General features: G+C 57.5%; 1 protein-coding gene across 9 annotated transcripts in view, besides 2 other annotated features; it reads left to right on the top strand.

Moving 5' to 3' along the window:
* The window catches only part of SMPD4 (sphingomyelin phosphodiesterase 4), a 30366-nt gene extending 19691 nt beyond the window's left edge, over positions 1-10675 (top strand). For 3 of the 9 annotated variants that reach the window (NM_001171083.2, NM_017751.4, XM_011511444.4), the window contains 9 exons: positions 4671-4816; positions 5392-5482; positions 5932-6032; positions 6808-6971; positions 7585-7790; positions 8132-8365; positions 8617-8748; positions 8896-9024; positions 9183-10675. In NM_001171083.2, the coding sequence (NP_001164554.1) occupies positions 4671-4816; positions 5392-5482; positions 5932-6032; positions 6808-6971; positions 7585-7790; positions 8132-8365; positions 8617-8748; positions 8896-9024; positions 9183-9512 (1533 nt within the window). In that variant the 3' untranslated portion in view covers positions 9513-10675. Of the gene's footprint in view, positions 1-794; positions 882-3801; positions 3884-4670; positions 4817-5391; positions 5483-5931; positions 6033-6807; positions 6972-7584; positions 7791-8131; positions 8366-8616; positions 8749-8895; positions 9025-9182 lie in introns of all 9 variants that reach the window. The other 6 variants (NR_033231.3, NM_017951.5, XM_011511443.3 and 3 more) reach the window with 4 other exon arrangements.
* Positions 1054-1683: an enhancer, noted in NCBI's record as "H3K4me1 hESC enhancer chr2:130917957-130918586 (GRCh37/hg19 assembly coordinates)". NCBI's record gives its function as "activates a minimal SCP1, AML or CMV promoter by ChIP-STARR-seq in naive H9 embryonic stem cells {active_cell/tissue: H9 hESC(naive)}" and the evidence as "EXISTENCE:reporter gene assay evidence [ECO:0000049][PMID:30033119]".
* Positions 3754-3853: an enhancer, noted in NCBI's record as "active region_16523". NCBI's record gives its function as "activates an Ori minimal core promoter by ATAC-STARR-seq in GM12878 lymphoblastoid cells {active_cell/tissue: GM12878}" and the evidence as "EXISTENCE:reporter gene assay evidence [ECO:0000049][PMID:35858748]".

Here is a 13359-nt window from a genome sequence, read left to right as displayed (position 1 = left end):
CCACCTTAGCTGACGTCCAGACTATGAGGGTGGAGGGCAGGGCCTGGTGGCCTGAGCCTGTGCTCCTCGTCTCTGTGCTACCCTTGGGGACCTGTCCTCGCCCTCAGTTCTCAGAGAGCCAGTCATGGAGGGGACATTGATTTGAGTTTTAGACACATAGGAATCAATCATGTCTTATACCAATTTGGTAAATTTCTTAAGACAACCCAGGGAAATCCAGTCAATTCCACATGTGTTTTCTGGGCAGAGTGCTCCTCCTGGAACATGCTCCGCTGGTTTCTTTTCTGAGCCTCAGGATCTTGAGGTCTTGGTGGCTGGCAGCATGTCCCAGTGAGGGCCCTGGGCTCTTGGAGGGCTCTGGTTTGCATTTGCCACACATAGTGTGACCTCAGTCACTGGGGAGAGTGGGTCCCGTCTTGAAGGGCAGTGAGTTGGGCCCTTCCAAGGAGCTAGAGAGGCCTTTAGGCCCCAGCAATACTGAGGGGCCACCCAGGTGACCTGGAGGCCCCTCTGCCCGGGCCTTCAAAGCGAGGAGAGTGTGGCCACAGCCCTGGCCTGGTTGTGGAGGGGGGTGCTGCGCTGGCCCGCGGCTGCTGGGACTGCAATTGTTTGGATTGTCACTGACCGTGCTTTGTTTTTGTTTTTTTCTCCTCACTCCTGGGCTCGTTCTCATTGCTTTCTTTCTCTCTCCGCTTCCCCCTCCCGTGTCTGGTCCTATCTCTCCCCTTCCCCACCCCATTCTCTTGTCCTCTGCTCTTCGGCCTCTTCCGGCATCTCTCTGTTTCTTATCTCAGCTGGAGGTTCTGCACTACCGACTCAGTGTCTCCAGCGCCCTCTACAGCCCCGCCCAACCCAGCCTCCAGGCCCTCCACGCCTACCAAGTACTGGCTCATTCGTTCCCTTCCTCCTGCCCAGAGTGCATGTCCATGCCTGGCAAAGCAAGGGGCCGCCGGGGCCGGCCGCTGGTGACTCAGAGGCTAGTTCCAAGCAGAACGAAGCCCCTGTGTCGGGGGGAGGCAGGGGTCAGCCTCCAGCCTGGCTTGGCCCCTGGCTTTGTAGACTAGTTTGGTTGGGGGTGGGGGTGGTGGCTTTGTGGCAGAACGAGGCATGTGGGCATGTGGCCCTGGCTGTCCAGGCTCCAGGCCAGTGGAGGTGTCACAAGCTCTCCAGTGTTGGAGGCCTCGTGCTTGGCCCTGGTTTGAAGAGCTGGAGTCCTCAGGCCTCAGCAGTGGCTGGGTTCACTGCACTCTGCAGGGTCTGGCGCTTAGGAAGGAGCTGAAGACGCAGAGGCCTGGGACTTACGGGTGGTGTGGGTTCTGCCTTGTTCAGAACTGTCACCCAGCCTGGAGGTGCTGTGACCCAGAGCTTGCGTGTGAGGCAGGGGGTGGGAAGGACCTGGGGCTTGACCCTATAGCCCACAGAAGCTGTCAGTCCTTGACAGCCCAGCCAGGACCCGGCCTTCACCTGGGGAGCCCTGGCCGCTCATACACACCTCCAGAGGCAGATTAGAGTGGGTGGTGACCTCATAGAGGTTGCAGCTGCCTAGGCAGAAATGACAAGTGTGTGGATGGATTTGAGGTCAGTGAAGCAGAGTTCAGACCTGTAGGGGACTTCAGGGATGACAGAGGAATCTGTGAGAGCCGGGGGAGACGGGCTGTGCTCACAGCCAGTGATCTGTCCCATTCACCTGGGAAAGAGCACACATGATTGAACAGGAATTTGAGCATAAGATGAGAAAATGTGTTGGCTCCTTAGCGCTGGTGGGCTGGGATGGTGGCCACAGCACACAGGGGCACCTCATTCCGCAGGAGCCACTGCAGAGGAGAGGAGGGACCTGAGGGCTTGCGCCAGGGAGGGAGGACAGTGGTCCAGAAAGCATCTGGCAAACCCCATGGTGGGAGGGTGACCAGCGAGACCCAGGTGGGGTGAGCTGAGGTGCTGTGAGTCTCAGCCCAGTGGGAAATGTGCGGCTTTGGGGACACATCCTTAAGAAGCAAGCAGGTGACTGTGGCCAGGGACTCCATGTGGGAACATGGCCCAGGAGGGGTGCAGAGCTGAGGGAGAAGTTTGGCTCAGCAAACCTATGGGAAAATAGCCTGAGAGGGTTCCATGTGACTGCCGGCGGCAGGGGCGGACAGTGGGCCCTCCAGACCCTTCGGAAGGACCAGGTGAGGTGGGTCAAGTGCACCAGCAGGGGAAAGCAGTTTTCCAGTTCACATGTGGAGGTCTTCCCCTCCCCTTAGCTGCAGGAAGGATGTTACGGCTCAGGATCCCAGGCCAGGATTGGAGGGAGGGCCTGGGCTGAGACTGGAGGAGGAGAAAGACCCTGGTCTAACTTCCCACCCCACTGGTGCCCTTCTAGTTGGGCAGTATAGGTACAGGTATTATGTCTCATACTTTTCTCCTTCTGTCTTTTTTTTTTTTTTTTTGAGATGGAGTCTCACTCCGTTGCCCAGGCTGGAATGCATTGACATGGTCTCGGCTCACTGCAATCTCCACCTCCCAGATTGAAGTGATTCTTCTGCCTCAGCCTCTTGAGTAGCTGGGATTACAGGCATGTGCCACCCACCCGGCTAATTTTTGTATTTTTAGTAGAGATGTAGTTTCACCATATTGGCCAGGCTGGTCTCAAACTCCTGACCTCAAGTGATCTGCCTGCCTTGGCCTCCCAAAGTGTTGGGATTATAGGCGTGAGCCACCGCACCTGGCCCTTTCTTCCAAAACAATGCAAATTCATTGCCCAAAGACTTAACAATACAGATAGAGAAAAATAGCCAGCCACGATGGCTCATGCTTGTAATCCCAGCACTTTGGGAGGTTGAGGCAGGCGGATTGCCTGAGCTCAGGAGTTTGAGACCAGCCTGGGCAACATGGCGAAACCCCTGTCTCTACAAATACAAAAATTAGCCTGGTGTGGTGGTGTGTGCGCCTGTGTTCCCAGCTACCCGGGAGGCTGAGATGGGAGGATCCCTTAAGCCCTGGAGGCAGAGGCTGCAGTGAGCCGAGACCACGACACTACAGCGCGGGTGACAGAGTGAGACCCTGTCTCAAAAAAAAGAAAATGCCTCCCACCCCATAGCTCCATCTTCAGACTCAGCCACTTATCTCTGGGGTGTGTCACTTGGACCTGTGGGGACAGTTTCCTGACGGGGAGACTTGAGTGGGTAGCGATATGGGCAGTGGCCCGTGCGGGGTCTACAGCATACCAGGATATACCTGGAGGCTGGGCCCTGCACCAGCCTCAGCAGCACAGATGTGTTACGGCCCAAAGGGCTAGGGGACAAGTGTGGAGAGGCGAGCATGTCCACTCAGACTCAGGGTCCTGCCCTCAGCACCCCTACTTCCCTGCCCTCGTCTACTCTCGATGCGCCCACCTGCCCTCCCAATGCTAAACAACCAGAGGAAGCCCATGGCCACCAAAAAGGCTTTCCTCTCCGGCTAGATCTCCAGGATCCTGCTTGTATGTTACAAATCAAAAGTTTGGCCTAGGCTGGACACAGTGGCTCACGCCTGTATTCCCTCTCTTTGGGAGACCTGAGGTCAGGCCAACATGGTGAAACCCCATCTCTATGAAAAATAAAAATTAGCTGGGCATGGTGGCACACACTTGTCGTCCCAGCTACTCAGGAGGCTGAGTCAGGAGAATTGCTTGAACCTGGAGGCGGAGGTTGCAGTGAGCCGAGATTGCGCCACTGTGCTCCAGCCTGGGCGACAGAGGGAGACGTTGTCTCAAGAAAAAAAAAAAAAGTTTGGCCTAATATGCTTGACTGTGCTTTTGTCTTGGGGTTTTCCTGACCACAGGTCCCTGGGCAACAGAGGAAGTGACGCCCGGGGCTTCTACTGGGCCGAGTTCTCATCTGGCTGTGTCCAGGATGAGGAGCAGGTGGGAGGAATTGGGGAGGAAAGTGAAGCCATGGGGTTCTTATTTTTGAACCAGGTCTTACTCTCACCCACGCTGGAGTGCAGTGGCACGATCCTAGCTCACTGCAGCCTCAAACTCCTGGGCTGAAGTGATCCTCCCACCCTAGCCTCCTGAGTCATTAGGACTATAGGTGTGCACCACCACACCCAGCTAACTTTTAAAAATTTTTTGTAGAGACAGGGTGTCCCTATGTTGTCTAGGCTAATCTCGAACTTCTTCTTAGCGATCTTTCCACCTTGGCCTCCCAAAGTGCTGGAATTACAGGTCTGAGGCACCACACCTGGGTTCCATGTGCTTTCTGCACACACTTGGGAGGCAGGTGGGAGACCCTGGATCCAGAGCTTGTGGGTGATGCTGGCTTTCTCCTGCCCTGGGGATCAAGACAGGCACCAGCGCCCAAGGGCACAGCCTGTGCCACCCGCTGCGGATTTGCAGCCGTGCAGAAGCAGGGCTGGGAGGCCCTCTGCAGATGTGTCTGTCTTAGTGAGGCCTCCCCAGGGCTGTGTGGGCGCTGGGCCAAGCACTTCCATACCACAAGCTGGTCACAGTTCAGACCAAGCAGTGCAAGGCACATCTGGGTGCCAGGCACAGTGGTGCCCCATGGGGTGGCCCCACTCCTGGCCTGGCTCATGCCTCCCGTGGGGGCAGCAGAGCAACTGGCTCAGGGCGGGATGTGGTCAGACCTGGAGGCGGAGTGCTATGGGTGCCACGCTCCTTCCCAGGCCCTCACCCCTCCTTCTCCACCCAGGAGTCGTTCACGCCTACTGAGGAGCATGTGTTGGTGGTGCGCCTGCTGCTGAAGCACCTGCACGCCTTTGCCAACAGCCTGAAGCCAGAGCAGGCCTCACCCTCCGCCCACTCCCACGCCACCAGCCCCCTGGAGGAGTTCAAACGGTGGGTGGCCCTTGCGGCTTCCCACCACTGCCGTCTCCCCCACTTTCCCCTCCTAAGGTGTCGCCCACAGCGACCTCTCCCCAGGGCATGGAGGGCAGGGTGAGGGGAGTCCCTTTCTGTTCACAGAGCACGTGAGGCCTCTCCAGGCCTAGGCAGGTGTCCTCTCACCCCGCCCAGTTGGCTCCCAGAGCCTCTCTCTCCAGACTGGCCAGAGAGGCCCCATTGTGCTGCCATCTCTTGCATCTCATATTCTTCAACCCTGTCAGAAGAGTTGGGGTGGCCCTGACTGCCAGGCCCACCAGGGCCAGCAGAGTGGGCTGTTTGTATGGGACGGAGGGTGAGGTGTGTGCAGGAGTTGTGCTGACTCGGCCGCCTGCGTGCTGTGTGTCCTTGGGATGTTCCCTAACCTCTCTGAACCTTGATTTCTTCCTCTGAAGAATGGGGCTGAACCTCCCGGAGGTGCCCAGTGCTCTCCCCCGGCGGAGCCAACCCTCACTGATGGGAGCCCTGGGGTCATCTGTGAGCAGGGCCTCCTTACTGGGCAAGCAGCAGGTGACCCTCCCCATCCCCTGCAGGGCTGCTGTCCCGAGGTTCGTCCAGCAGAAACTCTACCTCTTCTTGCAGCATTGCTTTGGCCACTGGCCCCTGGACGCATCGTTCAGAGCTGTGAGTGTTGGCCCCGTCACACGTGTGCCTGTGTCCTCTGTGTGCCTTGAGGTGGGAGGTCCTTTGGGGCAGATAAAGGAGGAGAGCAAGTGTTATCACAGAGGCCTTGGCAAGGAGGGGGTCTTGGAGGGCCACATTGTTCTTTCTGTTTGAGTTTCCAAAGCCAGCCCTCAGGAAAGCCCTGCCCTGTCCCACCTGTCTGGTGCAGGGCAGGTTCCTACCCTTACCTGACCAGGGAGTACTCTGCCCCCTGGGCTGGGAAAAGCCCACCCTGGCTTCTGGAGGGCCAGCAAGAGCCAAACCTCACAGGGCTGTGCATGTCTCTCCTGCGCCCTCTGGAGGAAGTGAGAAGAGTCAGTCCCACCCAGCTGCCGCCTGGTATCTGGGCTCCAGGCCACCGAGTATTTGGCCCCCAGCCACGGAGCCCTTAGCACACACCTCCCCCACAGGTCCTGGAGATGTGGCTGAGCTACCTGCAGCCGTGGCGGTACGCGCCTGACAAGCAGGCTCCGGGCAGCGACTCCCAGCCCCGGTGTGTGTCGGAGAAATGGTGAGCCTCAGCTCCTCTCACAGACATGCCACTGGCTCCCCCAGGTGGATATTGTTCCAGTGGGTGGAGGCCAAGCCAGCGGCCTGTGCTGGGGTCAGCCTGGCCCTGGCCCCCGTGGCCTCCTGAAGTCCTCTCCCAGCCCCTGCCGAGCGGAACACAGACCAGCCTTTTCCTAGGCTCAACTTTGCCAGGCCCTAGAATTGGTTTCTTATGGAAGCTGTGGGTGACCCATCCTGCCCTGTCCCCTCTCCCTTCTGTCCCAGATGAGTGTTTAGCCACCCCCAAACTATCCCTTGACCTTCATCAGCACAGAACAGAGCAGCGGTGATCAAGCAGGGGATGAGGGAGGCTGTCTTCCCCTCATCCCCTGCTTGATCCTCACAGCGGACCCCCAGGCTTCCGTGGCACCTGGCATGGCCACTGATCCCTCCCCTCCTTGCCCAAGGCATTCCCCTTTGGACCCTCTGGGGGATCCTCCCTGAGCCCCCTCAGGCTCTGGGCTGGCCTCTGCCATGGTGGCCTCCATCCACTTGGAAAGGGGCCTCAGCCTTGCTAAGGATGTGGCATCCTCAGAGGGCCTGGGTCTTACCTGCCTCTGTCCTGTCCTCCCTGCCTGCCCGTGGCCCCCTGAGCTGTCATCTGTGACAGCTTGTCACCTTGGCTAAGGAGAGTCTGAAAGCCCAAGGGTGAGCAAGGGCATTAGGGGCACGGACCGGGCATTAGGGGCATGCTTCCAGTTGGAAGGCTGGCCCCAACCTGCCACCTCGGTCCCCAGGGCACCCTTTGTCCAGGAGAACCTGCTGATGTACACCAAGTTGTTTGTGGGCTTTCTGAACCGCGCGCTCCGCACAGACCTGGTCAGCCCCAAGCACGCGCTCATGGTGTTCCGAGTGGCCAAAGTCTTTGCCCAGCCCAACCTGGCTGAGATGATTCAGAAAGGTAAGTCCTCAGCCTGGGCCAGCCCGGTATACGTCAACCCAGCCAGACCAGGGCCAGGCCCTTAGCTGGGGGTGGCTGGTCTTTAAGAGGGACCCACACGCCCAGAGTGGGCCCCGGCAAAGGGTGCTGTGGAGACTCCTGGGACACGTCTGTGTGGTGAGGTCTGAAACCGGCTGGATCCTGCCTGCCCTGCAGCCACCAGGCACTGGGTGGGGGATCGCAGGTGTGCCCACAGAGCGGGCCGGCACGGTCCAAGCTGCGGCCCCGTGACCCCGCTGTTTCTCCCTGGCAACTCGTGTTGGCCGCTTCAGGAGGTGAGCCTGGTCTCTGCCTTGCATTCATCCTGGCTGGGTTGGGCGTTGGTTTCTGTCGATCCTCCTGTTGTTTACCTCCTGCAGACACTGCTAGGGGCTCTGTGAGCCAGCAGCTCCCCCATCCGCCCTCCCCATGTCAGCCACCTACTGTGTGGGAGATGCTGCCAGGCAGGGCCTCAGGAGGACACCCCTGGGTCATGGCTCCCCAGACACCTCAGAGACACCCCAGAATCCTAAGGGCAGCAGTCGGGTACTCTGCCTCCGGGAAGTGGGTGCCAGGTTCGTCTCCTGCCTTCTAGGTGAGCAGCTATTCCTGGAGCCAGAGCTGGTCATCCCCCACCGCCAGCACCGACTCTTCACGGCCCCCACATTCACTGGGAGCTTCCTGTCACCCTGGCCACCAGCGGTCACTGATGCCTCCTTCAAGGTGAAGAGCCACGTCTACAGCCTGGAGGGCCAGGACTGCAAGTACACCCCGATGTTTGGGCCCGAGGCCCGCACCCTGGTGAGTGGTTCGGCGGTGCCTGTCCTCAGGGCCCCTGGAGCCATGGGGCTGAGCAGAACCCGGGAAGTGCTGTGATCCAGCAGGAAGGAGGGAGGCTGGGTATAGATTTGACGCCATATCTCCTTCCCCCGTTTTAGTAAAGTCTAATTTTTTCCTGATAACGAAGGCAGTGTTTCTTGGGAAATTTCAAATGTAGAAGATCATCCTTTAGTCTTTAAAAGTCTTCTGGCAGAAGCCACTCCTCCTGACGCTCAGCAGTCTGGCTGTGCATTGCTCTTGGGGCTGCCTGGGTGGCAGCACAGGCCTGTCCTGCTGGTGACCTGCCCGCGCCTCCCTTGCAGGTCCTGCGCCTCGCTCAGCTCATCACACAGGCCAAACACACAGCCAAGTCCATCTCCGACCAGTGTGCGGAGAGCCCGGCTGGCCACTCCTTCCTCTCATGGCTGGGCTTTAGCTCCATGGACACCAATGGCTCCTACACAGCCAACGACCTGGACGAGATGGGGCAAGACAGTGTCCGGAAGACAGATGAATACCTGGAGAAGGCCCTGGAGTACCTGCGCCAGATATTCCGGGTACGAGCTATGGGGCCTGCCCCACCGCCATCAGGGTCCCCTTCCCTGAAGGATCCACTCCACCCAGCCTGTGGTCAGCCACCTACCAGTCCCAGGCCCCACACATATGGACCCAGTGTTGTGGGAGGCAGGCCCACACCCCGAGCGTCATAGCTGGGTCCCCTTGTTGCCACTGTTGTAGGCTGGTGGGGTGAAGACTGGTCCCCTCTCTTCATCTTGATGCTGAGGGCAGTGGCATTTCTCTCTGGCAGCTCAGCGAAGCGCAGCTCAGGCAGTTCACACTCGCCTTGGGCACCACCCAGGATGAGAATGGAAAAAAGCAACTCCCCGACTGCATCGTGGGTGAGGACGGACTCATCCTTACGCCCCTGGGGCGGTACCAGGTGAGAGGCCCGTGTCTCAGAGGCGCACAGGCTGGGCCCTGACCCGTCCCCAGCTCCCTCCTCCCTTGTGAGCAGAGGCCATCAGGCTCCTCTGAGTTGTGTGTGGGGCTGTGTTTTCTGACCCATCCCCATGGCCTGGCTTTCTAGATCATCAATGGGCTGCGAAGGTTTGAAATTGAGTACCAGGGGGACCCGGAGCTGCAGCCCATCCGGAGCTATGAGATCGCCAGCTTGGTCCGCACACTCTTTAGGCTGTCGTCTGCCATCAACCACAGAGTGAGTGGGCAGGAGGGCTGGCCTGGCGTCTTCAGAGAGGGTTCTAGATGCTCCTGCCTGGGGTGCAGTCCTGGGGTGGCCTGTGAGGGTGGGGTACTGCTGTCCTGAGGCCTGTGGTGCCACCACCCCACATCCCCGTGCCTCTGTCTGTGCTTCAGTTTGCAGGACAGATGGCGGCTCTGTGTTCCCGGGATGACTTCCTCGGCAGCTTCTGTCGCTACCACCTCACAGAACCTGGGCTGGCCAGCAGGCACCTGCTGAGCCCTGTGGGGCGGAGGCAGGTGGCCGGCCACACCCGCGGCCCCAGGCTCAGCCTGCGCTTCCTGGGCAGTTACCGGACGCTGGTCTCGCTGCTGCTGGCCTTCTTCGTGGCCTCTCTGTTCTGCGTCGGGCCCCTCCCATGCACGCTGCTGCTCACCCTGGGCTATGTCCTCTACGCCTCTGCCATGACACTGCTGACCGAGCGGGGGAAGCTGCACCAGCCCTGAAGGTGTCAGCTGCCTTCAGAGCAGGCTGGAGGGATTTGCCACACAGCCCCACCCTTGGGCTGAGAGGACCTGGGAAGCCCCTCCAGGAGGGAACACGGTCATCCTCGGGCTTCTGGAGCGGGGTTCCTGCAGCCGCAGAGGCATCTGGAGGAAACGCAACCAAGAAAGGAAGGCAGGTGGGCCCCAGCAAAGGAGTAGCTGCCAGGGCTCAACAGCTACGCTCTGTGACAGCGCAGAGCTCAGCGGCGGCCTTTCCCTCCCTCCGCCAAGGACTCACGGCCAAGCCAGCTCTCGGGGCCTTTTTTCCACTGCCCATTTGGCTACTCTGCTGCACCAAGCTTGGGAGCCAGCCTGCCAACAGCCACCTGGGCCTGGCCTCCCCACTGGCTGGCCTTGAGGTTGGCAGAGTGGGTTGTGGCGCTTCCTCTCTCTGTGTGGGACCAGGACAGTGGCTTAAGTCTCCACTCCAGGAAAGAATCAAAGTTTCTAGAGTTGTGAGAAAACCAGAGAGTGGCTGTCCTGATTCTTCACTGTGAGGGGCGTTCTTCATGTTCTCCCAGCTGTTCCAAGACTGGGCCGTAGAATTCCATGTTTCAGGAGCCTAAGACCCTCCCAGAGCCCAGGGGCTTCACCGCAGACCCCAAGCCATTGAGCACATCACCCAAAGCAGTGGCCAACATCGCGGACCCCTGTGCCTTGTCACAGATGGGTGCTGGTCCTCAGGCGTTGGGGACACTGCTGGGTCGATGGGGTCGGATTCTGCCAGTTTCTGCTCTGCAGCCAAAGATGGTCAGAAGCATTGTCACTTCAGTAACATCAAGTGCTCAAAGACATGGCAACCGTTCAGTGGTACTTAAGTATTCAAAATATACAACTACAGATTCTCTGACAGAAACCAGCACGGGGTCTTCACCTTCATTCACCCCACAGGCGACATGCGAGGGAGAACAGCATCTCAGTGGTGATTTCCAAACCAAGCCTTTGTTTTCGGTGTGGGGTTTTGGGGGTTTGCTTTAATGTTTTTGAAATTGTAAATGTTGGGCTTTGTATTTTGATGTAAACTGAGCATAATGGCATTTTAGGGCCTGTGACCAAAAATGAAGCTTGTAACGACCATGGATCTGAATAAACATGTCCTTGCTTCTGAGTCTTCTGGCACCTGGGCTCAGTCTCTAGGAGGTTCACCTGTACAGAGTCCCTGAGCACACGGGGGCTGCAGAAACAACTGTTGGGCACCCTGTCGGCCCCTCCCGCTAGTGTCCACAGGCCTGGACCTCTGGCTTCCTATGCTTTCCTCTCTCAGAGGCACAGTAGACTTTGCCCTGCCTTTACAAAAGATTCAAAAAGTTAGGCATGGCGGTTCACATGTGTGGTCCCAGCTACTTGGGATGCTGAGTTTGGAGGATCATCAGGGTCCAGGAGGTCAAGGCTGTAGTGAGCCTTCATCACGCCACTATACTCCAGCCTGGGTGACAGAGTGAGACCCTGTTCTCAAAGAAAAGCTGACCACCGGGAACATGTGCTGCCAAGTCTATGGCTTCCAGAAGCTCTGAGGATTGCGGGAGTTGCTGGGGGCTGAACTGTCTGGCCAGGAGCGGAGGGCAGACAAAAATGCATTGAGAACCAAGAACAGCAAAGCTGAGTGAGGGGTCAGGGTCTTGGTGGCTGGGACCTGGACAGCGATGGCCACAAAGCCAGCTGGTGCTCAGTGGCTTCTCCCTGGGGAGCGAGGGCAGCAGTGGGCAGCTGGGTTCCAGCCACTTCCAGGTGGGGGGTAGGGACCTCGCCAATAAAATGGGATTTAAATTTTGCCAAGAACTCTCACTGTAGAGAAAATGGGACTGCTGGGATGAGAGCAGAAGCAAAATGCAGTTGGGGGGGCCCGGCCAGGAGGCACTTGTGAGGGACTTCCGGGGAAGGACGAGTTGGAGCAACTCAGGGGAAGCAGTTCTGTCTGGGGCACAAGGAGGAGGGAGGCCAGGCTGGAGGCAGGAGCTCCTGCAGATTCTTGTCTCCACCCCTGGATGCTTCCAGAGTGGTTTGCCCTAACTGCCACTGCCACCGCCTCCTCAGCTCCTAGGATGCCCTTGACTTTTTGCCATTGGGCCACACTCCCCTGCTAACAGGCCAAATCCGATGCTTTTCTGACCACGTGGCCCAGAGACTCTGGCAGCGCAGCTTCAGCCTGTCCTGACACCACCCCTGCCCCCGCACCTCCGCATCGTCCTCCTTGCCCCGAGACAATCCCGTTCCCTGGATCCCATTCGTGGCCCACTCCCTTCCATGATCTACCGCTAGGATATACCAGCGCCCCCGTGATCCAAGGTAAGTCAGATTCTGATCATCTTGTGCAAGCAACTCACAAGCAGAGGCCCTGTGCAGTCGGGAGAAATCTATACCTTTCCCCTTGGACATCCAAGAGCAAGTTAGATCCCCTAAAGGCCAGCTCTCACCAATAACCCTGACATTTCCAATATAAATGAGAGAGAACTCTCTGTTTTGAGACAAGGTCTTGCTATATTGCCCAGGCTGGAGTGCACTGCACCATGACAGCTCACTGCAGCCTCTTAACTCCTGGGCTTAAGCAATCCTTCCGCCTCAGCATCCCAAGTAGCCAGGACTACAGGCATGCGCCACCGCACCCTGCTAATTTTTAAATTTCTTTGTAGAGACGGGGTCTCACTGTGTTGCCAGGCTGGTCTTGAACTCCTAGGCTCAAGTGATCCGACCGCCTCCGCATCCTGAAGTGCTAGGGTTACAGGTGTGAGCCACCACACTGGAGAGCGGACTCTTATGTAGCCTTCACTGTAAAAATTAAGCTAGCTTCCCTTGACTCCCAAAACCAGAATTCCTAGCATAATTTTCTCAAGTCACAAGGTGCGAAAATATATCAAATTATTTCCCAGTCAAGAATTCCTACTTTTGGCCAGGCGCAGTGGCTCATGCCTGTAATCCCAGCACTTTAGGAGGCTGAGGCAGGAAGATCACTTGACGTCAGGAGTTTGAGACCAGCCTGGCCAACATGCTGAAATCCCATCTCTACTGAAAATACAAAAATTAGCTAGTGTGGTGGCGCATGCCTCTAATCTCAGTTACTTGGGAGGCTGAGGCAAGAAGATCGCTTGAACCTGGGATGTAGAGGTTGCAGTAAGCCGAGATCGTACCACTGTACTCCAGCCTGGGTGACAAGAGACTCCTTCTCAAAAAATAAATAAATAAAAAAAGTGATAAATTGGCAGCTGGCGCCAGGGACAGGCCATTTCCTGATGGGCCACACCTATTTCACTAAAGTGTTAATTGAATGCAGATTCCAGGGAGAATCAACTTCCCAGGCATGTGCATTAAGAGACAAAGTGGTGGAGTATGACCTTCGGGGGGCACCCCACCCAAAAACCTCAGATGGGCATGCATACAGTTTCCTAAACACACTGCATGTGTTTAGGAACTCCCAAGGGTAAGGAGGGTACTGTACATGTGGGCAGCCCACCCTAAGGGAAGGATCATGGGAAAGGGGCCAGTCTAGAAAGTCCTAGGATCAAGGTTAAACACCACACTTGACTTTCATGTGCCCACTTAGGTCTCTTCCAAGCGTACTTTCCTTTCTTTCCTGTTCTAAAGCCTTTTAAAATACACTTCCACTCCTGCTCTGAAACTTGCTTCGGTCTCTTTTTCTGCCTTATGCCCCTCAGTCGAATTCCTTCTTCTGAGGAGCCAAGAATTGTGGTTGCTGAAGACCCATCCGGATTCACTGCCAGTGACTTGGACACCTTCCACTGCTAACACTATTAACTCGGACACCTTCCACTGCTAACACAATAACACTGGGTTATTGTGTTTATTTGGAGAG

This window comes from Homo sapiens, chromosome 2, assembly GCF_000001405.40.
Source record: "Homo sapiens chromosome 2, GRCh38.p14 Primary Assembly".
In the NCBI taxonomy this organism is placed as follows: Eukaryota; Metazoa; Chordata; class Mammalia; order Primates; family Hominidae; genus Homo; species Homo sapiens.
The sequence above is the reverse complement of the archived record's forward strand: the minus strand, read 5'-3'. Positions and strand labels throughout refer to the sequence as shown.